The sequence below is a fragment of the Homo sapiens genome, chromosome 3 (genome assembly GCF_000001405.40).
Source record: "Homo sapiens chromosome 3, GRCh38.p14 Primary Assembly".
NCBI lineage: Eukaryota > Metazoa > Chordata > Mammalia > Primates > Hominidae > Homo > Homo sapiens.
Window position 1 is genome coordinate 6,778,816 of NC_000003.12, and position 26,937 is coordinate 6,805,752.

At 36.5% G+C, this 26,937-nt stretch overlaps 2 long non-coding RNA genes across 3 annotated transcripts in view; one reads left to right on the forward strand and one right to left on the reverse strand.

The window, feature by feature from the left end:
- The window catches only part of GRM7-AS3 (GRM7 antisense RNA 3), a 173,092-nt gene extending 146,458 nt beyond the window's left edge, over positions 1–26,634 (reverse strand). For both annotated transcript variants that reach the window (NR_110123.1, NR_110125.1), the window contains exons 1-2: positions 26,574–26,634; positions 12,238–12,326 (exon numbers count right to left, since the gene is read on the reverse strand). This is a non-coding gene — a long non-coding RNA (GRM7 antisense RNA 3). The remainder of the gene's footprint in view (positions 1–12,237; positions 12,327–26,573) is intronic.
- Positions 1,631–5,440, forward strand: LOC105376943 (uncharacterized). The gene is made up of 3 exons (XR_940580.3): positions 1,631–1,789; positions 3,246–3,324; positions 3,976–5,440. It is a non-coding gene; the product is annotated as an uncharacterized LOC105376943 (long non-coding RNA).
- Positions 26,635–26,937: the final 303 nt, after the last annotated feature.

Here is a 26,937-nt window from a genome sequence, read left to right on the forward strand (position 1 = left end):
AGTAAATCCATATAACATATATAATATGTCATATGTATTTAATGGTTGTAAACATTTAGCACAGATCATGTGTAAGACATAGCAGTAACAGAATAGAAGAAAATGAAAGATAGGATTCAAAACTTAAGGTGCTTGGGATTAATCTAGAAAATGCAATAAATCATTCAAAATGACATTAAACCCTACTTGTTTGTTTATTTTAAAAAATCAGAGTTTTTTATATTCAGTATCAGGAACTCTTCTTGGCATGGAGACATCCTGTGAACCCCATCAAAGCCCAGCATATTTTGCAGCTAACATTCTAGGGGAAGACAAAAACTGCCAACAAATGAGCAAGTTATCTAGCAATGATAAGTATAATGGAGGAACATGATGAAGAGTAAGAGGAGAGAGGGTGACAGAGAAGTGATATACAAGTTAGGGCATTCATGGGAGGATTCTCCAAGTAGGTGAGATTTTTGCAGAGGGGTATGTGACGTGAGAGAGCAGCCAGGTGGCGCCGTCGGGGAAGAGCAGAGGAAGACACCAGTGCAAAGGCCCCGAGGCAGAACATGTGAGTGGCATTCAAAGTACCCCAAGAACCCGTGTGGCTGCAGGACAGACACAAATCAAGATGTGATGTGGTGGGAAATGATGTCAGAGAGATGAAGTGAAGTGGGAGACAAATCATATAGGGCCTTATGGGCCAAGGGAAGAATTTTGAATCTTATAACAATCATTACTAGAATCTATAGGAAGGTTTAGGGAAACAGGATGAAATGAAATCTTATTATAAAAGAATCATTATTCTGGCTCTCCTGCGAAGAATATTGTTGGAGAATAAGACGTAAGAAAGGTAACCCGTTTGTTGAGAGATGATGGTTTAGGTCAGTGTTTGGCAAACTATGGCCCATGACCCAAATGTAGCTCATTGCCTGAGAGCTTAGAATGATTTTTAACATTTTTTAATGGTTCCCCTATAAATGGTTATAGAAGTACCTACATAATATTTTTGATGTAGCCTCTTGGCTGGCAAAGCTTAAACTGTTTACCTATCTAACTTTTAAAGAAAAAGTCTGTCAACCTCTGGCCTTGGCAATGATGTTAGGCCTTAGGCCCCTGCTGTTTAATCATTTATTATTCCTCCATGCAAATTTTTATTCTGGAGAAGAAAGAGAGAGAAATGATGATTGCCAGTCAGAATGAAGGACAAAACATGAAGAAGAGACATATAGTTGGATTCAGGATGTATTTTAAAGGCCAAGTGACAAGATTTGCTTAGGGATCAGACACAGTGTGTGAAAAAGAGGAGTCAAAAATGACTCCGGAAGTTTTTATCTGAGCAACTAAGTCGATGATGGTGCCCATTACTGAACTGGTGATGAATGGGAAGGAAAAAGTTGGGCCAGGGTAGGGGGAAATGAGGTTATGTAGTTTTGGACATGTTAATTTCAGGATTCCTAATAGGCTTCCAAATAGAGATGTCTAACGAATGTCCAAAATATGGTGTAAATAACATGTAATAAAGAATTTCAGAAGATGGCCGTGGGTTGAGGCACTGGTATAGGTTGAGGTTTTCATATTCATAATACTAGTAATCATAACAAAGATGATAATAATAATTAATTATCATAATAATGTCCCAATCTATTTTAAGCACTGTGTGAGGTAGCTGTCAGACACCAGCAAGCACCCAGCAGACCTCCACCACAAGGAGCATAACTGAGGAAGAGCCCCAGCTGCCTCGCTCTGCAATCTACTACCCTCTTTGCACTAGGGCCTGGTCTCCCACGGACAACTCCCAGTGGAGGTGAGAGCATGGCAGGGATTCCAAGGCAAGAAGGACTCCTCTGATGGTTGATTATTGCTCCAGGACTCCCCTTCAGCCTTGCTGAAACTTCTTTAGATTGCATGGCAGTTCAGGACACTTGTACCCAATCTTCCTTTCCTCCTCGCTTTCCTTGGAGTCAGACTTGCTTCCTGATGGCTCTGCTCTTCTAGACTTCCCTAAGTCCCTTCCGTTGTCCTTCACAGGGACATTTCCCCTAGGTAAACTCTTACAAGTTTAATCCCATTTTCATAGCCACTTCAGATACCCAAATGAAACACAGCAGCTGAAATACAAGGTCTCACTAAATCCCACTTAAGGCCATTAAAGCATCTCTCTAAAAATAGGTGTTTTGTTATTCCTACGTCACAGATCAGGAAACTAAGGATTGGAAAGGTTAAGTGGTTATCATAGTTTTCAGCCTTTATTTAACAAGTTCTTATTAAACGCCTACTCTTTTCAAAATCAGGTGATAGGACTGAATCAAGACTTAAACATGTTGCTTTCTAACTCTAAAGTGTATGTGTCAACCAGTACATTGCAGCAGTGGTTCTCAACTGGAGGCAATTTTTTCAGAGGACATTTACTTAATAATGTCTGGAGACAATGCTGAATGTTGTAAGGGGGTGGAGCATGCTACTGGCATCTACTGGGTAGAGGCCAAGGACGCTGCTAAACATCCTGCAATGCACAACAAAGCCCCAGCAACCAGGGAGTATCCAGCATCAAATATCAGTAGCGCAGAGGCCAGGAAACACTGCATTGCAGCAGTAGAATTTCACTGAGCTAGAAAAGGAGGCAGATTCCCAGATATAAATGAGTAACAGAAGAATCAGGACCGTCAGGTATAAAAGTAAAAATAAATAAATATGGTCTCCAAGGAGAGGAAGGGAAGATTCAGATATCCCTAAATAAGAAAGGACTCATAATCATTGCAATACATAGTTATTAAATGCCTACTGTTAAAAAAAAAAAAAGCACTCAAAATCTGAAAGGCCAAGGAGAATGGAAACCAGGAAAAAGAGCTGGTTTGGGCTAATGTTACAAAAAATTGACTTTTTCTGAACAAATACAACTTCAGCATTACCTAAAAAATTGAAAACAGAAATAAAAGGCATGCATGTATGCAATATACACAGACACACATGCACAGGTACACACATATATTGTGTGTGCTTAGTTATATTCCAGGCATCTATGCTGAGCAGTTTTGCCACATGTATGTTATTTCTGCCCTCACTTTAAATTTCAGAAAACTGAGGCTTAGATCTAGAAAGTAGTTGAATTCCAGTAGAACCTAGAGCCAGAACTCAGAACCCTGTGCTCTAAAGCTGTATTCTAGAATGCCTGTGAGCAATGGAAATAAGTGAATTGTTTAGTAAAAACATTCTTCAAATTTTAAGAGAGTTGATACTAATAATTTGGTACACAATCCTAGGAAGCTTTTGAATGTGAATGCAGAGTTGAACGAACACAAACAAACAGAAAGCTCCCAGCACTTTTACTTCTTTTGGCAGGTATGTGTGTTGTATATATATATAACATATAAATAATAATGTGCTATGATTTGAGACATGGTGCAAAGTATGGGAAAAGTAACTTTATGCCAACATGATTTACTTCGTTGTGACCCAAGGAGATTTTGTACCACATGGGGAATACAGATTGACAATTATTCTCATTTCCATTTGCACATATCAATTGGTTAACAACAATTTCACGTTTAATCTATTACTTTTGCAGATAGATGCATTTTATTGATTGAATCAATGCTTAAAGTTTTCATGAACATCACTTTCTACAGAAAATAGTTTCCCTAGAGGGTTCTAAAACGATACTTTTTAGAACAATAAACAATGGCTTTGTCATTTCTTGTAGTAGTGTTTATGTAGTATTTCCACTGGAGACTGAATGTCATAGTCATCAATACAAAATTTGCAAGAAGTTTCCTAGAGAACTCATAAACCATTTGACAAAAATCAGTATCAAGTCAAGAGAGAAATATTCTGGTCATTTCTTTTTAGGTATGTTTCTTTTATTTTATTAGATACTTAATTCTCTTGCATGAATTTTTTTGGATAGTACGCGATAGGATTCCCATACACATCCCGTAGAAGATATATTGCTTAGGACCATGCAATTTAGATGTTTGTTATAATTTTTTTCAGATTACATTTTTTGTTCCAGAGAAGTAAAGGGAAGAAATGAAGACCAGCAGGTTGCATACAACACAGAAAAGATCTGATGAAAATTCTACTATGGCCTGTTTATTTAGAAACAGATTGGCCGGATAATGCTAATACTAATCACTGTCGTGGCTAAAATTTATTAAACACTCTCTCTGCTATGCATTTCAACATACACCCCTAAGAGGTTGGTACTAAATTTTCCATTTTAAAGATACGGAAAAAGATACATGATAAGTTTAAGTAACCTGTTCAGCTAGTAAGTGGCAGAGCTAGGTTACAAACCCAGGTGATCTTATTCCAGATCAGAAGATCTGGACCAAAAGAATTGGAAACAAGTCTGTCCTTCGTCTACTGTAACTCTTATTGAATATCATATGGGGATGATAAGTTAATAAACAAGTAGGCAAAATTATACTTATGTTGTGAACTGTGTGGACTTAAGGATTCGGTAGACTGGACTGTCACTTATATGATTAGAAATTTGGGTGGGACAATTAAGTTTACTCCCTTGAGACTAAGGATCTTCCATTATAAAACAGAATGGACTAGATTATGTAATCTCTAAAGTACTTTGTCACTAGTTCAAAAATACTCCAAAGGACTCTGGAGGCCAAGGTGGGAGGATTACTTGAGGCCAGGAGATGGAAACCGTGTCTCTAAAAACGTTAGCTGGGCATGGTGGCTCGTGCATGTAGTCCTACATTATGTAAACTCCAAAGTTCTTTCTTGCTAGCTCAAAAGTATTTCAAAGGACTCAGGAGGCTGAGGCAGAAGGATTGCCTGAGCCCAGGGTTCAAGGCTTCAGTGAGCTGTGATTGTGCCACTGCGCTCCAGCCTAGGCATCAGAGCAAGGCCCTATCTCTGGAAAAAAACAAAAAACAAACGAACAAAACACGCCAGAGCAAAATGTCTTAGTGTTCAATCATTCTTTACACTTGTTTTATTTATTTTTAATTTTTATTTTTTGTGGGTACATAGTAAGTGTTTATGTTTATGGGGTATATGGGATATTTCAATAAAGGCATACAGTGTGTAATAATCACATCAGGGTAAATGGAGTATCCATCACCTCAAGCATTTATCCTTTGTGTTACAAACAATCCAGTCATACTCTTGTAGTTATTTTTAAACGTACAATTACATTATTCTTTATGCCTGTTTAAGATGCATTCTGAATGCGTAGAACTAAAGTCATTCTTTGATACAGCAGTGTGAAATAGGAACTATAAAGAGTCGCTCTTATAGATGGAATGTGCTTCTGTGTTCTCTGTTTAGAAACACAGGAATAAAAATTTGGAATCTCTTCTGTTTGGATCTCACATGGTAGACCAAATGCCAGAAGGATAAATTAAATATTACTTAGTAGGGGGCAAGGACAATATAGATAATTTGTTCTAGTAAAACAGTCTTTACTTCTCTTTCATGAAGTGGGCAAAGAGATGAGTGTCACAGAACATGAATGGGGACAGCTACAGCAAAAGGTCAGATTTATCCTGTGAGAGAATCTTCCATGTGTTGGGCACCAGTGGAGCCACATTTTTATAAATGGAACCACGCGAATTTAAAATAGAGAGCAACTTAAATATATCAAAATACTTTTACTTTATATATAACATTTGAATAAAAAAATCTCTCAAGCAAAAATATAGTTAGAATTTTGTAATTTGAAAACTGGTGAGTCAAGTCCACTGGAAGCTAGCTGGCTTTACCCTTCACATGGTGAAACCACTTTAGCTGGTCAAAAGAAATAACCAACGAAATTATGGAGTTGGCAAAAAGATCAGTAGTTGCCAAGGGTTTTGGGGAGGAGGGATAAATAGGTGGAGCACTGAGGATTTTTAGGGCAATGAAACTACTCTGTATAATACTACAGCAGTGAATTTATGTAATTATACATTTGTCCAAACTCATAGAATGTACAACGCCAAGGGTGAACCCTAGTATAAACTACGGACTCTGGTGATAATGATGTTATCAACGTAGGTTTATTAATTATAACAAAGGCACCACTCTGGGCAGGGTGGTGTTGATAGTGGGGGAGGGTATGCAAGTGTAGTGGCAGAGGATATACAGGAAATCTCTGTACCTTTATCTCAATTTTACTCTGAACCTAAAATTGCTCTAAAAAATAAAGTCTTAAAAAATACCCATCTTGCTGCCCCATGATTGGTTCTGATTTGTTTGACATTGTCCCGACCACATCCCCCTTTCATAAAGTAGCAGTCTTATGTCTCATTTAATCACAACAGGAGCCTCTGACCATGTCTAGGCATTTTCCTATAAATATAACATGACATTGTTTCCATGTAACAGTAAAAATATTAGAGTCTGTAAAGAAAAATGTGTTTGAACTTATATGTGATGTCATGAAGTTTATGTGTGTAGATATTAACAGGCAGAACTGTTTCTTTTGAGTCTTCTGTAAGACCTCATTTAGCTTTCAAATAAGTACCTCGAAAGCCAAAAATCTTACAGATGAAAAATGAGCTATGATGTGGATTATTTTTTAGACATAATGGTGAAGAAGCATGTTCATGATCACATAAAAGTGTTGGTAAGAAAGAAATTCTGTAACAAAATTACTGTATAGTTCAATCTATCAGAAACTATTCTTTGAAGGATGTCATTTATCAAAGTACAGATGCTGCTCTAAAAACTACATTGGCCTTTAAACATCACTAATTAGAAAGGAAGTAGAGCTTCAATTTGCAATTTTTTTAATCTTCAATACTATTGACATCAAAAAAATCATTCAGAATGCTCATAAAAATTGCTTTCCATGTTTCTTATGACTAAAAAGATTTTTTCTGAAATGAATTAATCCTCATTCCCTGACACATTTGCCAGCATTCTGAGATGAAAAGAAAAAAACATTATTATGCACCCTTCCTGAGAGAGCAGTAGGGGCAGGAGCTGAGTTCAAAATTATTCATTTCTGCTTCAAATCTTTCTTGAAATCTTTTCCGTGGCTGTGATGTGCAAGAAATAGCTGGAGAATTTTTATCTCCACCCCCTCAAGTAACACAAATCATCTGCTCCCCCTTTTACAAACATGAAAGAGGAAAACTGTCCATGATGATTTGCAGAGAGTGGGTGTGTGTGAGATCTGCTATTTCCATGGCTGGTTCAGAAGCTGATGTCACGATTACTTCCTACACAGCAATGTGGGAAACCACATTAGCAGCAGGAATCCCAGTTGGCAGAATTGCCAATTGTACCTGATAAATAGACAGTTATTTGGAGGAGGAATCCTCTGGACACCTTAGAAAAGTCAGTCAACATTTCATTTAGAAATTAGAAGCTCCTAGAATGGGATGATGTATTTCAAAATCTTTAAGAAGTACAGTGTGGTACAACAATAAATGATTATTTTTATAGTGTTTGTCATCATCATTATTACATTACTATAGCTGTATGCAAGTCTTTCAATAGACACATAAATGTTTCTCCCAAAGCAAGGGTTTTGGTGATCAGGAATGAAACTTAATATAAAAACTAAATTAAATTGAACTTTTTAGAAATTGCCTTGAGAAAACCTGGGGTGGGAAATAAGGACTTGAAACTAGACTGGAAGATAATCTTGGATTCCGAGGGGACCCAAGATGATTGGGAGCATGACTTTGGCAGGAAGTCATTTTAACATCATGGCATTGAGACATAAATGCCCACCTGAAATAGCTGGTAATATGGGGACTGAAGTACTCATGTTAGTGTGACAGCAGCAGGGTCACTGGATTGAATAACTCCAGGGGGCACCATTCATCCATTCCTTTATTCCAGGAAGTGTTATGGAATACAAGGTATTACACAGAAGCAGCAATTTGGAAAGACCATCTTGAGAGATTCTTCATAAAAACAGAACCCCAGTCTATAAGGTACACATTGAGATCAGTGTCACTCTGTCCATGCTCTCATCCCACTTCTGTGTAGATGTCTTCTCCCATTTGCTATTGTGTTAAGACATCAGAATGGATCTTCCAAGGTGCTAATCTCTCTCCACCCCTGCAGAGGCTTATTGTTTCTTCTGAGAAAGTTGGCTGGTTATCCTGATGCAGCCAATTGATCTGTTGTAATAATAAATGCCCACTAAATTCAATTGCCAGGTTATCATTTATGGGTTTCAGTTCCTGCTCCATGGTTCTCTTGGAGGTCTAGGACTGAGCAAGACCTGAACTTGGTAGTTACCCATGTTCCAAATATAGTGTCTCTCAAACTTTGTCTTGACTGAACATTCCTTTGTTCAAAGAAATACTTACAGAGATGCCCAGTAAATGAAATAGAGAAGCTATGAATGCTGACTTTGGGAGCCTTTCCTGCTCATTGTCAATACCCACATGTTGACTTCACTTGTTCCACAGCAGCCACTGCGGGAATTCCATTAACTATCTAGAACTCTTTCATAGCCAGTGCTAATAACACTACTTAAACAAAAGCTGTTTCATTGTCTTTAACTGAATTTCTTGGGGTCTATTATCAACATTATTTGGAAATGTTCCCTTCTCCACTCTAGAAATGAGCTGTGTTTCTAACTGATAATTTAAAACTAGCACTCCATCTCCATCAACTTAGAAATTAAATAAATTATTAAAAAAAATAAAATTAGCACTGCAGTATTTATCTGTACCTACGGAACTGTATTATTCAGGATCCTTTGGTTGCAGAAAACCCAACTCATTCTGACCTAAAGAGGCTCTATTGGCTTAGAGGTAGACATAGATTGAAAGACTTAGAGGTGGCTCTGGATTCAAGCACAGCTTGCCTTCAGAGGGAAGAGAATATGCAAGATTCTATCTCTCTTTCTCACTCTTTTCCTGTTATTCACCTCAATTTAACTGATATTGGCTTTATTTATGGGCAGGCTTTCTTCACGTGATAGTCCCTAAGAAGTCTTTCCTGTGATTTTCTTTCCAAGTAATACCTACAGAATTTTTGTAACTATGATTCATTTGACCAGTTGTTTTTTAATTAATAGACTTTATTTTTTAGAGCCCTTTTAGGTTTATCAAAAAATTGAGCAGTGAATACTGACAGTTCCCAAAGATTCTCAACCCCTCCATACACAGTTTTCCCTATTAACATCTTGCATTGATGTGGTACGTTTATTACAGCTGATGAACCAGTATTGATATAGCATTATAAACTAAAGTCCATAGTTTATATTAGAGTTCACCTTCTGTGTTGTAGAGTTTGTAAGTGTTTTGACAAATATGTAATGTCATTTATTCACCATTACAGTATCGTACAGAATACTGTTCTAAAATTTCTGTCCTCCACCTATTCAGCATTTCCTCCCTCCTGCCAAACTCCTGGCCACTAGTGATATTTTTACTGTCTCTCGAGTTTTCCTTTTTCCTGAATGTCATATAGTTGGAATCATACAATGTTTCATCTTCACAGATTGGCTTCTTTCACCTAGCAATATGTACTTAAAGTTCCTTTCCGTGTGGCTTGAGGGCTTGCTCACTTGTTTTTATCACTGGGTGTTATTGTGTTGCATGGATATACCACAGTTTGTTTTCTCATTCACCTATCGAAGGATATCCTGAATGCTTCCGAGTTTGGGCAATTACGAATAAGTCACTGGAAATGCTTGTGTGCAGGTTTGTGTGGACATAAGTTTTCAAATCATTTGGAGAAGTACCAACAAGAGTAATTGCTGGATCATATGGTAATACTATGTTTAGCTTCCTAAGGATCTGCAAGACTGTCTCCAAAAATGGCCATACCTTTTTTCATTTCTATCTAAATGAATGAGTTGCTCTTACTCCACATCCTGGCCAGCATTTGTCCTTTTCAGTGTTTGGGATTGTACCGTTCTAATAGTGGTATCTCATTGTTGTTTTAATTTGCAATACCCTAATGAGACTGGACTGGTTTTAGTTGGTGTCCATTCTTGAATCAAGCTCTGTAGTCTAGGGGATGGAATATAGCGATCAATCAGTTATGCATCTTGGGCTTTTTATTTAAGCCCAGGCCAAAAGGATAGTTTGTGATTTACAGATAACAAATTCACAACTGAAAAGTGATTCACAGTTAAGAAAGACAAGTGGATGCCATACTGATAATACATCAGGAATTCACAAAATAAATACATAAACAAAACCTTCTGACAAAATGTAATATTAGAGTGTTCATATTTATATCATTCTCAGGTGAAAACCACATGGTGTCTTTCAAGGGTCAAGGAAAGAGGTGGTGTACATATGAAGTGTGGGAGTTGCAACAAGTGGTAGTGGGAAGGCTGGGCTCCATTTCAACAATTTTTTAAAAAGTAGAATAAAATACATTTGTTTTCAGTATTAATTCTCCATTGTACACATTGATTCATGAGTATGTATAACTTCTCTCTGTATAAAACATATCACACAGTGTAAATGAAATAAACAATCCACTAGAGGTCTTTTACAATTTAAATTAAGCTATTATTCAATGTAATTACTAGTCTGAACGTTTTGAAGTTTTTCAAAATAAGAACTGTGGAGGTTGTTTATTCTACAAGATAGTTCATTGCACAATTATGAATGATCAGCAAAACTCTGTGAGTTGATGATCATAGGGTATGTTTTAGTTGAGAACATATTTTTGGCAATGAATACACAATGCCTATTAATTAAATCAAAGAGATATTTTATATATGTTGATTCAATAAATGTTCTTTTGAAAAGAATACATTGGCCAAGTAATAGGTAGCCACTCTAAATGCAATTGGTAAATTTGAATCTTACAGCAGGAAAGGAAGTATGGGTTAAATGTTCGTAAATATTGGCACAAATTAGTGATGTTACTTGGGGAGAGAAGAAGAGAGTTGGCGTAAACATTTCACAGTTTTATAATGGTATTTGTCCAATGATTGATTTAGTCTTGTGATTGATCATTAGCAAAAGTGTAAACCATATGGCAACTGACATTTATAAATGTGCTTTTATCAGTCAGTTTTACCCATTGAGAACAGCAATTTAAAGATTCAACACTTTGTAAGTATATTAACAGTATTCTGGAGAATTTATTGAGTAATAGTGTTGGAAAGATTCTGTGTAGAATCTTTATAGAATCATGAAAGAATAGTATTGGAAAAGAATTTAAACTGGTGATAGACTATGTTTACTTCATTCAAAAACCTGTGTTTATTTCATCCAAAGTTCTGATAATGTCAGAAGTTAGTGATTTCTGGAAATGCACTGGAAATAAATAAAAGAAAATGAGAAAAATGTACTTCATTCTTAGAGGATATGAATTTTAAATACCATGTGAAAAAATAGATCTGACCAAAATCAAATGGCCACAAAGTGAATGGGTTTGCTAAAGAGAGGAAAATCCTAAATATTTATACAAATTTCATCAGTCTCTGCCTTTGTTTTCTAATTTCTATACATTATTATATAGAGAAATTTTTCTAATGTATTACATTTATAGAATTTTAGAAAGTAACTGATGTAGCTACCAGTCCCACTAAAACTAGCAATAGTAGCTGTAGGTTTAATCAGTCGGCCTTTGTGTTTAAAATGAGACAAATTATTTTTGCCACCGTAACAGCAAATATAAGACAAAGTACAACATTCTCTGATTATAAATTGGAGAACTTGGTTAGAAGTTCACTCCTGCTTATCAGTTGACTTAGGATATCATTTAACTATGATTTAAGTTATCATTTAACTGTCAACTTTTAATAATGTTATGACAAAGTACATTTTCACTTTGATAACAATTGCTATTGTCATAATCATCTTCATCATCATCCACATTTTATTTCCATGATACTTCAAAATAGTCAAGTGTCACACTGCCCAAGAGAAGTATATCAAACATGGTGCCATATTTTGGTCAAAAATTGTTTTGAGGTCTGAATTTACAGAAGGAGAAATAAGAGAAGAATCTGGATTGAAATAAATCATTTTATAGATGTAACCTATTAAACACGCATTAATATACCAGAATAGTCATTTGGATCACTATGTTTTCTGGCAGATAGAGCACTTGAATGAAGATATACAAGTATGACTTAGTCATTAATTAATTTCCCAAAACCTACTTAATCCTTCTGGGACTTGTCTCAGCTATAGAACTAAGAGAACAAAGTCAAACTTAAGTCAACGCAAGGTACTTAGCTTATGTAGCTAGTGTCTTTCAAAATATCTTTGAACAGTCTTAGTGGAATGTCACTTCACATTTTTCTGACATCTTTAACACTATTTCGGTTTCCAAAACAGTTGCCAACTCTCTACCCAACTCTTTCCACCCTACCTTGGGTTATGTAGCTTCCTGGCTTTTCATTCTTCGTCTAGAATAAGATCAGAATTTTTTCCCATGTGACTTATTTTAGAGGATTCCAGCTGTGGAAACAAACAAACACATATGAAAAGATGTAGCAGATTTCATCTGAATATTCTTTTAGAATTTTGCCAATCATAAATGTTTCGAGAAAAGAGTGCTCTTAAAACTCTCCATTAGTATTTGCCCAGATTTGTTTATTCAATTTTGTCCAGAAAGAAGGGAGTTGGTTATTTTAAGTGCAAATACAGGACTCAATATTTCATTTATTCAGAAGGGGGCACACTTGTGCTTTTAATAGCAGATGTATTCGGATTTGCTGGTATACAAAATTTATACATAAACTTGCCACAGATGACAGAACTACTTCTCATTACCATGGTTTTTTAAAAGGCTTAATACTTCTTAAACAAGAAGAGTGACAGAATTCAACATGCAGGTTTCTTTTTAAAGAAGGTTTTTATTTTTTTTTTATTTTTTTTTTTTTTAAGTTCGAGAGTCCTTTTAGGTTAAAAACTTTGCAGTTTGTTCTGATAATTTTTCAATGTGATTGAAAGACGTCTATGATCATGGAAGTAACATGTTTTTGACAGCTTCTAATACATTTTAGTTTGACCTCTGACTTTCAGCAATTTGATAGCCTTAAAAATATTTTCTCTATTGGTTTTCATTAATAATGTGACATCATTTGTATGCCAAGATAACACTGACCTATTTGGAGGATAAAAACTTATGCAATAAGCTATCTTTCTACCAGTGGACTTAATTGTTCTTAGCCATAATTGTTTTTCCCAGGGACACAAGATCGTCTTGGCATGTTTGGCTAAGGAATTTACTCTAAAACCTTTGAAAATCATAGCCAGCTTCCACTACTTTGGCCTCAGTGCTATTATGCTCTAGACAATTCAAGTATTTGGTCAAAAATGATAAAACCCAAACAATTTAAAATATACAGTAATAGCTGTGATAAATACAGAGGATACGAGAAGATAGAATACATATACAATTAAAATTTGCTTTGAGGTATTGTTAAAAACTTATATGGGTTGTAACCTGTCTGAGAATATATATGACAATGGGGGATATCTTTACTATATAAAGCACTTTTACAAATGATAACGAATATTTAAGATAATTCAGTAGAAATATGCGAAGGTAAAAGATGGTCATTTGACAATTTCCAATATGGATGAATGGGAAATTATCATTATACTATAATCAGTGTATACAGGAAGACAGACCTAGTCTATATGGTTGATATAGTTCATATTTTTGTCCCTCTTCAAAACTCATGTCTAATTGTAATTCCCAATTTTGGAGGTGGACCTTGGTGGGAGGTGGTTTGATCTTAGGGGCAGATTTCTCATGAAGAGTTTAGCACCATCCACTTGGTGATGTTCTCATGATGATTAGTTCTCATGAGATCTGTGTGTTTAAAAGTACGTGGCACTGCCCCCACCACTCTCTCTCACTCTGTCTCCCCTTCTCAGCATGTGATGAGCCTGCTCCCCATTTGCATTCTGCCATGATTAGAAGCCTCCTGAGGTCTCCCCAGAAGCAGATGCTGCTGTGCTTCCTATACATCCTGCAAAACTGTGACCCAATTAAACTTCTTTACTTATAATTTACCCAGTGTCTTATAGTTTCTTTACAGCAATGCAAGGAAGTCCTAATACATATTTTCAGTCTTCTGCCCTCACAAACTTTTCAAGACAGCAATCTTGATACAGATGTTAATTGATATTTCATTTTCAGATGATAATCATGCAATATGTATCACTGATTTCAATATACCCCTTGACTAACCATTCAACATCTTTCTTAAGGAAATGATCTGAGAAAGAGATAACTGTACAAAGATGTTTATTGTCCTGATGCTTAAATAGTGAGCAGTTGGTAACCACATAAGCATCAAGGAAAACTAATTAGTTAAATGTGTTGTGGTACTTCATAACTATTTAAATGAGTACTTCATAACTATTAATACCACAAAGAGAGTCTACACCTATTGATTTTTTAAGTCTACATATGTTGGTAAATTGAAAAAGTAGGTTAACAGGGAGATTATGGAGTAATTCCAATTTTATGAGAGAACCATCATTCTACCCTCTATGTCTATGAGATAAATTATTTAGCTTGCACACATAAATGAGAACATGAAATATTTGTCTCTCTTTTCCTTGCTTATTTCACTTAACATAATGTCGTCCAGTTCTACCCATGTTACTGTAAATGGCAGGATTTTATTCTTTATGGCTGAATAATATTCCAATAGACCACATTTTCTTTATCCATTCATCCACTGATGAACACTCAGGTTGATTCCATATCTTCACTGTTGTGACTAGCGCTGCAATGAACATGAGAGTCCTGATATTTCTTGGATATACTGATTTTTCTTTCTTTTGGATATGTATCTCCTTTATTTGGGACATATGATAGTTTTATTTTTAGTTTTTTGAGAAACCTCTATACTGTTTTCCATAGTGGCTGTACTAAGTTACATTCCCACCAACAGTGTACAAGCATTCTCCTTTCTCTGCATCCTTACTGGAATCCATTATTTTTTGTCTTTTTGATAAAGGACATATTGACTGGAGTGAGATGATATCTCATTGTGGTTTTGAATTGCAGTTTTTAGATGATTATTGATGATGGCAATTTGTATGTCTTCCTTTAAGAAATGTCTACTGAGATCTTTCGCCCATTTTTAAATCATATTATTCGTTGACTTTTTTTCTACTGAGTTGTTTGAATTTCTAATATATTCTGGCTATTAACCCCTTGTCAGTTGAATAGTTTGCAAATATTTTCTCCCACTCTGTAGGTTGTCTCCTTGCTTTGCTATGTGCTAACTAGCTTTTGTTGCATTATATTGGCCAAGCAAGTCACAAAACTAGTCTAAATACAACAGTCACAGTGGCTCACGCCTGTTATCCCAGCACTTCGGGAGGCCGAGGCCGGTGGATCACCTGAGGTCAGGAGTTGGAGACCAGCCTGGCCAACATGGTGAAACCTCACCTCTACTAAAAATACAAAAAAAATTAGCCAGGCATGGTGGTGGGTGCCTGTAATTCCAGATTCTCTGGAGGCTGAGGCAGGAGAATCACTTGAACCTGGGAGGCGGAGGATGTAGTGAGCCAAGATCATGCCACTGCACTCCAGCAAAAAGAGTGAGACTCCATCTCAAAAACAAAACAAAAGACAGTCAACAAAGGGATCTCACCTCTTGATGGAAGAAACTGCAATGTTACATTGCAGAGGGCAAAGGAAGGGGTAAAGAATAGGGGTCATTTTTGTAGCCTGCTCCTCTAGTAAAAAGCTAAATTCTGAGAAAACAGACTAAATATAGAAACTCAAATTGTAAATTCAAGGCGGAGAAAAAGGTTTACTAAATCACCAGTGAGTATCAAAAAAAAAAAGACTAAGGTTTTCAAGTTCTTGAAGCATACATGTGAGATTCCTATCTGAGGTTCTTCATTTTCTAACTACAGAAACTTAAATAATACATCCATATGGATAAAAATATCTTGTGTCCTTTCAAATGTGGGTAATACCTATGATTCCCTTCTTTGTTGTTGTGAGAATAAAGCAGGATTACTTTTTTAAAAGTTCTTTACAGAGGCTTCACATTGCAGTTACTTCATGAGTGTCTAGAATAATTCACTGACTTTATTATGATTAACCCTGCTGTAGTTATTAGTGAATCACACTGGACAAACTAATGAACTAGAAAATAGAATCAAAGAATCAATACAGTGGAAATAAGACTGAAGTTGAAGATATCTGGCCGGGATCATGGATTCTAGATCTGTGCAACCTTAGGCAAGTCACAGTATTTCTCTGGACCTGTGTCGTTTCTAAGAAAATGATGCTTCTTCTTAGAGCTGAAATGTCATTCTGCTCTAAGAAAATTACAACCAAGAATGTTCCTTTCTCATTTTCATTTTCCACATTGTATTTCTGCTTGCAAAACAATATTGTATTCTTGTATCAGAGAGTTTTAGGGCAAACAAAGATGATCAAGTGAATATCTGAATGTTTGGGAAAGGAGTGGACCAGAGTGAGGAGTCCCAAAATTATCACCCCAGTTGTTAAGTAGCTGAGAAGGACTCCACACATTATTAATATTTCTGGTTATCAGGCCTGTCTGAAGTTATTCCACATAATTTTTGTTTTCAGTTACAGCGATGTGTGACTAATTGTTCGTATGCGTTCTTAATGAGCATATATCAAATTTAAAAATAAAATATTACTTAAAAATACTACAAATAAAATCACACAACTTTGAAGCTGAGTTCTGTTAAGTAGCTGAATGTGTGAATTACATAAGAATATGAGATATAACCTAATGTACTAATGCATCTTCTAGTATCTATCCTACACTGCTCTGGTTAGCACCAGTGGCTCCAAATGACGAGAAAGTGTCATGACATCAAACAATAGGGCAGAATTCCACCAAAGAATACTGAACACTTTTATTAGGAAAATAGGAAAAGGAAGAAAAATAGGAAAGAGTGGCAGTTTCTTTGGACAAAATCTGAGTAAAAATTATTACCCTCAGGGTAGAAATTTTCTTAAATTGGGAAATCATACCTCGAGCTGACAGCTTGGGATATTTGTTCACAAACCTATTAACTTCTCTATAGCTTCCCATTAAACATCACAAGTAGTTTATTCCCATATCTTCTGGGCCAGTGGGCCAAATTTCGCCTTGAATTTCTCATTCCTATATTTTCTTTGGCTGTTTTACTGATCTTCACGAACTTTCTTTTTTTTTCCTTTCCTTTTTTTTTTTGAGATGGAGTCTCACTCTGTCGCCAGTGCTGGAGTGCAGTGGTGTGATCTCAGCTCACCGCAACCTCCATCTCCCAGGTTGAAGTGATTCTCCTGCCTCAGCCTCGCAAGTAGCTGGGATTACAGGTGCATGCCACGGTGCCCAGCTAATTTTTGTATTTTTAGTAGAGACACCTTGAAACTATAAGTGAAGAGGTCACCTCAAAATATACAAAGTCAAAAACAGGCTTCTGAGGAGGTAAACGTGTTTTAAATAAGGAAATCTCCATTATAACTTCTAAAATGTCATTCATTCAGAAGGTAAAGCAACATGAAAATAGACCTTGAACAAGACTCTTTTTCATGTCTATTTAAATAAGAATGCTATTGAATTTGTGGTGCTAATAAAATAGTTTAAAATTTATAGCATTATTTTCTGTATCCAAATAAGTGAAAATATTTTTTTAATATTATTTAGTATGGTTTATAGTGAGTTAGCTCTGAGGATGCTAACACTCTCTAATACTTTTCCCCCAAATGTTGATATATTTGTATTTATTCTATATAAAACATTCAAATAGTATTTTAAAATGATATCCACAGTGTCATCCAAAAACCTACAACATAATTTTTTAGTCTTTATTATAATTTCAATTATGTGGAAGTTAAACATATGTGACTATAACACTTTTTTTAGATTGTGGTTTACAAAAAAAAAAATCATTCCCTTGTTGAATAATTCAATAGGTTTATATTGGCAAAATCCATGTTCTGGTCACTTGGGTGCAGCCCCCATTAAGCCTGTAGTCCAATGGAAAAAGAGTTCAGTAAATTCTTAAAACTGAAAACTTAACATGCAGTATAATAGTTCTATGCTGGGGTCAACATAGTGTATTACAATTGCATATTGCAGAATCCTTTTATTTGAACTTACAGGTTCAGAGAGTTTCCAGGGAAAGTAACATGGAAGGTAATATCTGACAAATCAGTAAAAATCAGCCAAAGACATGGAACAGAATGCTTCATCTCAGTGAGCATTATATACAGATGTATAGGGGCAATAAAAGAGTTGGCATTCTTTAAAGAAGTAAGAGTTCAATGAAACTAGAAGTTAGAATTCCTGAAAAGATGAAATGGAGATTGGGAATAATAAGTCTGGAGTGGTAAGCTGGGGTTGCATCATGGAAGTTCCTTTCTATCAAGTTAAAGAATTTGACCTTTCTCCTAAGAGGATTGGAATTCTACAGAAATGTTTTAAATAAGAAAGCAGCCTGGTTAGGTTCACATTTCAGAAAAATCATTTCATTACGAATAAAGGATCATAGACAAATGAGAGCTGCAAAGACAGAGGCTGAGAAACTCATTTGGAGCCAGCTATAGTGGTTCCAGGTGAGAGATGCTATTGGCCTCAACTAGAATACCTCTTAGTGGGGATGGAGACAAGTAGCTGCAATCATCATATTTTTAGAAGATTAAATTGAGAGGGCTTCAGATTGGATGTAAAGGAGGGTTAGGATCAAGGGTTAAGGAAGCTAACTAGATTTGTGAGACCTGTAACAGTGGTGATTGATTCCTCAACCAAACTAGGAAACATAACGAAATTGGCAAGCGAAGGTAATGCGATCATTTGGTGGCATAGTAAGATTTTCTTTCTGTAAGACTTCAAGTGAGATGGCTAGCAGAAATTTGTACCTATGGATTATGAACAAAGTCCTTTTCAGGAACAAGATCTGAGCTAGAGATATAAACTTTGAGAATGTCAGCAAGCAGATGGTAATTAAACATATGGGAGTAGATAATATTACTTGGGGATGATTTATAAAGAAATGATTCTCAAACTTTGGGGTCAGATTAATTACCCAGGAAACCTAATAAAATTCAAAATCCTGGGTACCAACTCCAGAGTGTCTCATTGAGTATGTGTAGAATGTAGTTCCCAAACCTGTCTTGTTGAAAAGTAGGGCCCCACCCCCAATGGTTCTGATGGAGATGATATTCTGACCCCACTCTGAAGTATAATGAGAAGAGGATCTTGCTTAGTGTCCTGAGTAGTATCAGAACATAAGCGATGGACAAAGAAAGAGGAACCCAGAAAGAAGACTATAAATAAGCAACTGGAGGTACTGAAGGAAAACCGGGAGAAAAAAACATTACAAATTCTATAAGAAAATAGCGGGTACAAGAGTGGTGAACAGGGTCAAAGTGTTGAGAGATAAAGTAAAGATAAAGGCTAAAAACACCCACTGGATGTAACAAAAAGGAGGTCATCACAAAGTTGGCAGGAACAATTTTGGTAGAATTATGTGGGCTGCAGCCAGATTGCAGTGGGCTGAGGGTTGAATATGAGATGAGGATAAAGAGACAAGAAGCAGAGGCAAAATGTTATAAAAGAAGTTCGGACTAGAAGGGCAGGAAGTTGCTGCAGCAGAATGTGGACTGAAGGGTGAGATGTTTTTAGGAGGGAAACAACTTGAGTGAATGTGGTATCTCATACCTGACGTGCTGCATCCCTAATTTCATTTTAAAGTTTTTTTAAACAGATTCATTGAAGTGTAATCTATATATTATAAAATTCATCTTTTTAAAGTATACAGTTGATTTTTTTTTTTTTTTTTTTGAGACGGAGTCTCACTGTGTCACCCAGGCTGGAGTGCAGTGGTGCAATCTCAGCTCACTGCAATCTCCTCCTCCCGAGTTCAAGCAATTCTCCTGCCTCAGCCTCCCAAGTAGCTGGGATTACAGGCTACTTGTATTTTTAGTACAGACGGGGTTTCACCATATTGGCCAGGCTGGTCTCGAACTCCTGACCTTGTGATCCACCCACCTCGACCTCCCAAAGTGCTGGGATTACAGTGCTGTGCCCGGCAATTCAATGGTTTTTAATAAAATTACAGAGTGTACAAGCATCACCACAATCTAGTATTAAAACATTTTCATTGCTCCATATTCCATATACCCGTTTACTGTTAATCCACATTCTTACACTCTGCCCCAGGCACATACACATGCATTGTTGGTCTCTACAGATTTACCTATTCTAGACATTTCATAGAAGCCATACAACGTGTGTGTTCTTTTGTGTCTGGGTTCTTTTGTGTCAGAGTTCTTTTGCTTAGTATATTGCTGGAGAGGTTCCCTCCTGTTGTAACATATATCAGTGGTTTATTCCTTTTTTATTGCTGCATTGTATTCCATTTTATGGATAGAGCGCATTTTCTGTATCCATTCATCAGCTGATGGACATCTGGATAACGTCCCCTTTTTGACCATCATTCGTGAATGATAGTGCTATGAATATTCACATGAAAATCTTTATGTAAGCATAGGTTTTCATGGCTCCAGGGTAGTTATCTAGGAGTCTGATTGCTGGGTTGTATGTTAAGTTTGGGTTGAACTTTCTAAGAAATGGTCCAACGTCTTTCTAACGTGGCTGCAATATTTTACATTCACACTCTTTCATCCCTGCCCTAATAAGCACATATTCACTTACTTTTATACCTGCATTCATTGAAAAAAAAAAAAAAAGAACTGTCCCCTCTTGGATAGTGGGGAGCAAAGTAAGGTGCTGCTTTGGGTTCTGTGCATTATGGTTAGGCCAAAAATGATGGAAATATGAATTAGCATCAGCCTGCCCCCTAGTGGTGGTCCAGACTGCTGTGCAGTCAACCTAAATCCATGGGGCCAAACTTCTAAGCGATCTACTCTTTCCTTCACTCACTCTTGTCACTCTACCTCCGTCTTTTCTGGCAAAGACCAAACAGTGGGCAACGAGTTTAAGTATGCTCAAACAAATTTAGAAAGTGTATAGTGAGGTGCAGTGGTTCACCAGTATCAAACCGTCTACCAGTCATGTCTACCAGAGATATGGACACTTACTCTCATGTGTTTAAGGATCAGCTGCTGGGGGACTTGGGCAAAGTTACTGAACTTCATGTAACCTCAGTTGTTTCTTTATCTCTACAATGAGGATTATGATAACACCAGGCTTAGTTATACTGCAGTGATTCAATGAAATTTCATATGTAAAGCACCTAACATAGTTAAACCTAGAGTTGGCATTCAAGAAAAAGTAAGTATTCAAATTTTATGATAATAAAAGTGGTCACGAGTGTAGTCAAATGCTACAATGACATTCTATTCATATAATTATTTTTTATCTGTTCTCATTTACTTATATCCTATGTTTATGCTCTCTATTTAAAATTGAAATGTCTTTGAATTTAGAACTACAGTTGACTGTATTTATTTGACAGTCTACAGTGTACTGTAGACAATTTATTTGATATTGATAAGAATCACAAAAGTAACAACAATACTATCCTTCATTATTTTATAGTAACAATATATCAGGACATTTGCTAAAATCTCCCTGTATGTAAAATTTAATGCAGAAAACATTTTTATAAGGTAGGTAAAGATCTCAGTCTGTGTTGGAGAAAATATTTCAGCCACATCTTTCTCGCTGCACCCATTTTCACTACCTGTTGTGCTGCCACTGCCAATGGAAATGACAATATCAATTACAGCTGGTTGATAATTGAGAAGTATAGAGACTAGAAAAGTGTGTGTGATGTGGCTCAGATCTGGATTCTCATGATCTTTTGTTGCTCTTTTGTCAAAGAGAAAAAGTAAGACCAGAAATGACCTGAGTTTGATGATTACTGCGGTTTGCAATTCAGCAATTCAAGATAGTTGCACTCTCCTTCCCAATCCACCCTAACACCTGCTTCCTTTTCCCCATTAATAGCTAAAGTTTTCTCCCCGAAATAGTCAAAGGTTCATTGGAAATTTTATCCATGTAAAGTAAGTACATAGGCCTTCCTTTGTTTTTCTCTTAACAATGCTGCAGACTATGTTTGTTTGGAATCTGTTCTCTGATGGCAGTTGTTAAGTTATTCATTTTAATGGGTGTTTTATAACTTTAAAAGGAAAATTGTTTCCAGGGAAGAGAGCATGCCTCTAATACAGAAATCAGGTATTTAGGGGGAAGAACAATCTAATAAAACACTTTGGACAGCCCGTGATAGTGTTCAGACACACAGTTCTAGAAGAGAAATAAGAAAGCATTTCTTTGGCCAAATGTGATCTGAACCATCCGGGTTTTTGCCTCACATACTGTAAGAGACATTTATTCTCTTCACTATTCAATTATTTTGCCAGCGAGATGTGGGAATTAAAGTAGCAGCAATCATGATAACATGTGTGAAGCATCAAAATACTTTGCACTGAGCAGACAGAGATGCCAATTGTATTTTCAGCTTGGGTTTACATATGGAAAATATTGTTATTATTTCCTTCAATGTCATCAGTTTTTAATGGCTCCTATTCCATCCAATTTTTAAGCTGTAAATATAGTCTAGTATTTGAAAAGAAAATCTAAGTAGTTCTAATGCCAGAGGCTGGAACTAGTTTGCCAGCAAAATTCATCTTTAGTTTACATGTATTTGGATGCTTGATTATATGTCCCCAAATCCAGTCATAATTTAGCCCAGAATTTTAGACTAACAGAACGCAAGTGTAGATACATTTGTTTGTCTCATGCAGTTTAAAAAAAAAAATCTGTGAGCAAGCCTTTAAATATCAAGAGATTCCACAATCTTTATTTGGGCTTCTCTTCATGAATAAAAGATTTTAAAATGCTTTCTTATCCCTGAGTAGGACACCGGACAGATAATGCATACTTACACTCTACTATTTGATATTTGTCCAAGACCTCCTAAACACCTTTGATTTTTGCTTAATATTACTCGATATTTAATCTACTGAAATATTTTAGTCCGTCTTTTTTTTTTTCCCCTGTAGAAAATTGAGTCTAAATTTAAAGTGGCCTTTCTAATGCAATCTGAGCCAAAAGGTATAATTCACTTTAAAGTAATTTGGGGGCAAGCTTAGAAGTGTGTAGGCAGTAGGGCAAACATTTATTTAATTTCCTATGCTACTACAGAAACGATAATAACTAACAAACATTAAATACTTATTCTATGTCAGGTGCTGAGGTTTATATACATTATCTCGTGTAATTCTCACAACAGGCCATAAAGCAGGTGCTAAATGCTATTATTAGTTTAACAGCAATAACAAAAAAAACTCTAAACCTCAGAGCAGGTATGTGCATTGCCTAAGGTAAGGTAAGGGACTGAACTAGGACTGTCTTCTCTCTAAAACTCACTTCCTCACCACTCACTCTCTTACTCTGTCTTACCTTGACATTACATTCTAAAGTATTTTTTAAAATATATTTAGGTCCTGCACACACCTGTTATTCCCGCACTTTGGGAGGCCGAGGCAGGCGGATCACTTGAGGCCAGGATTTCGAGACCAGCCTGGCCAACATGGCGAAACCCCATCTCTATTAAAAATGCAAAAATTAGCCAGGCGTGGTGGTGCCTGCCTGTAATCTACTCAGGAGGCTGAGGCAGGAGAATCACTTGAACCCAGGAGGCAGAGGATACATGAGCTGCGATCCCACCACTGCTTTTCAGCCTGGGTGACAGAGGGAGACACTGTTTACAAATAAATAAATAAATGTTTATTTTAAATGTAAGTAATTAAAAACATAAAGCTACATAAAAATGCATATTTATATATATAAATATTCATCTTCATACTGAATAAAATGCTCAAGGAACTCTCTGCTCCTCATCACACCTTTTGGGTCACAGAGGGTCCTCTTTTTATGATGGCCCATCAAAGAGGTCAGTGTTAGGTAGCATTCTTTCCCAATATTTTCCTTTTTTTTTTTTTTTTTTGCTATTGTAAATGAATTATGTATGCACCCTGAAGTAATTAGCAAAGACGTTGTTGTTCAGCTGAATTTTAAACTAATTAATCTGACCTAATTCTTGTCAAAAATAATTAGGATAAAATATGTCCTCCCTAAGCAACTCTTTGAAGCTGAGACGCTAAAGCACAGTACCTCCTGTGTATGCACTGCTCTAAAATTGAGAGGGCCATTTATTTAACAGTTTTAGAGGAAATGCTAAAATGCTACCTTGTGAATTGCCACCTGGGCATCATCTCCTCCTCCTCCGTTTCTATATTCAAATAAAGAAAAGAAGCTGAACTAACAATGGGACTATAACATGAGTGGTCTCAATGAGCCCTTCACATCACGTGGTTTACAATTAAAACATCAAAACTGGTTAATTTCTTCTCTTCCAAAAGGCTTCCTGCTGAATATGTGTGCCCCATTTCTCAGCCCATTCACTTTTTTTTTTTTTTTTTTTGAGACAGAGTCTTGCTCTTGTCCCCTAGGCTGGAGTGCAGTGGTGTGATCTCAGCTCACTGCAACCTTCACCTCCCCGGTTCAAACAATTCTCCTGTCTCAGCCTCCTGAGTAGCTGGGACTACAGGTGCCTGCCACCATGCCTGGCTAATTTTTTTTTTTTTTTTTTTTTTGTATTTTTAGTAAAGACGGGGTTTCACCACGTCGGTCAGGCTGGTCTCGAAATCCTGACCTCAGGTGATCTGCCTGCTTTGGCCTACCAAAGTGCTGGGATTACAGGCATGAGCCACCGCACCTGGCCCACTTTTCTTAATACAAAATTGATTAAGCTATTTTCTGTCTCCCCATCCCCTACCTGCCCCAAATAAGCTTTTAAAATATCCTTAGTGATATAATGAATTGGGAAAATGTCTCATGTAATAACCAAGTCCTAAGCTATATGTTTCTAGAAAAAATAATTTAGGAAAAGCAAATAAGCAAGCTTTACCCATAGCTGCAGGTTGTCAGCAAGTTGAGATGATCTCGGGTTGCAGCAACTGTGGAGGTTTGTATATGCTGGTGTTTGCCCAAAGCCTTCACTACTGCCCTGTCATTCTATAGCAGCCTCTTCTGCGTGCCCCCTAACCTTGCTCTCAGACATATTACGGAGCTCTTGGGAGAGGAGCGCATTGTGGGATATATCTATCACATCCCCAAGCAGTTCAGAGTTAATAATTTCCTTATTAAACCTATGAACCCTTCATGTTTTCTAGTCCTCCCTCCCCAACCCCCTTCCAAGTTAGTTTCTAGGCAACCAATAAGCACTGAATTACATTAAGCTCTTTATTTCAAGGCTGCAGTTCAGAATTTTGCTGCATATTTGTTGGCTCATTTATAGAGACTGCAGCATAAAATGTATTAATTCTGTCTAATCTGCAGTACATCAGTGATTTGGTTAGAACCACATTACCCGTACCTGTTTTTCATGTTTAAATCACTCAGTGCCATGATGCTCTTCTTTATGCAGCTTATGCCAAAGATACTGTGAGCTCTAATTTGAAATCATGGAAGCAAGAATTTCCACAATTCCCAGTTCCTGGTTATCATTTAGCACCTTGAGATAGTCTTTTAGGAAATTAGAATTTTCAAAATCTCCTTTTTTGAATGGCCGAAATGTCTAACAGATGACTTTTAGTAAGAAAGATCAGAAACATACGGTTCAGGAATAGCCTGAAATGCAGGATAAAAGGGAGGATATTGTTTGCTTTAACAAACTGAAATTTTGGTGTGAAAGAGAAGCAGGCCCTTGAAAATATTCCTTTGTTGGTATGAATCAAGGAATTGAGGTTGTAATTTCAAATTTTACCAAGGACAGTGTGAGAATGAAGATTAATCTTCCAGCAAAAAAGAACTGTTCTCTGTTTTGAATGTTGAATGGTTTGAGATATTCTCTAGAAAACTCTGAGCAAGCATGCTCTCTTTCTCTCTCTGTGATATTTATAAAGGGATCTGGTAAGTCTCTAAGTGTATAATATATTAAGGTCCTCACAATTGAGCAAAAATATAAATTAAATGTTAGTTCACTCTGTAGTTTCTTAAAACACAAAGCAGTAATCTACACTGGCCACACTAAAATGGTGGCTTTGAGAAAACAAAGTAAAATCCTTTTAAAACTCAAACTTGAATCTAATCTCTTTCCTTTCACCTGCTTATAATGTAGCTGAGACAGGTGTGTGTGGCATATAAAGCTGTAGAAATAAATTGAATGGTCTTGTGGCATAGAAAGCCAGCTGCCCACTAGAGTTGCATGGTAGAAAAACCTTCTAGGAGACCCTACTGCCAAGGAGGAGTGGCCCAGATTAGGCAGCAACTGCATCTTCCAGGTGACTTTGCACTTAGAGGTGCCACTTACTGGATTTGCTTCAGTAAAATATGAGCAGAAGGGAGGTATGCCATTTCCAGGCCTGGCCTACAAGATCTTCTGTGTGATCTCCCATGTGCCTGCCTTTCTTTTTTTTTTTTTTAATTTTACATTCTTTTATATCAATAGTTTTTGGAGTACAGTTTTGGCTACGTGGAAAAGTTCTTTAGTGGTGATTTCTGAGATTTTAGTGCACCTGTCACTCAAGCAGTGTACTCCCATATGTCTCTTTCGTCCCCCCCGTGCACTGGATATCACTAACCTCTCAACCTGGGGAAAAGTGAGATGTTTTGTCAAAGCCTCCATTACCAGTGACTGCATGGAGTATCACCTGTCTAGATCCCTGACAATAAAACTATTGTTTATCACTGAGAATTTGGGTATATCTGTTTCAACAGCTCGTTTTACCTTGACTTATAGACGTGCCATGCATGAGTCACAAGATAGGATCACTTCAGTCAGTAGAACCACAAATATTCTTGACTGCTTACTATGTGCCTTACAATGTAGATTCCAAGGATTCTATGGTAACCAGACAAGAATGGCTTCTTAAAGTAGTAGGAAAAAAAAGACACACTTCAAACTATTGCAATCAATCTATTAATTATATACATGTAATGAAATGCAAAATAGAAATTTAGTACCTATAGAGCATATAATATAGTAAGATTTAACTACAGTAAGGTTTAAATACAGTAAGATTTAAACTACTCTGGGGTTTGACAAATATTTTCATTCATTAATACTTATTATTTCCAAATGTTAGTTCAGA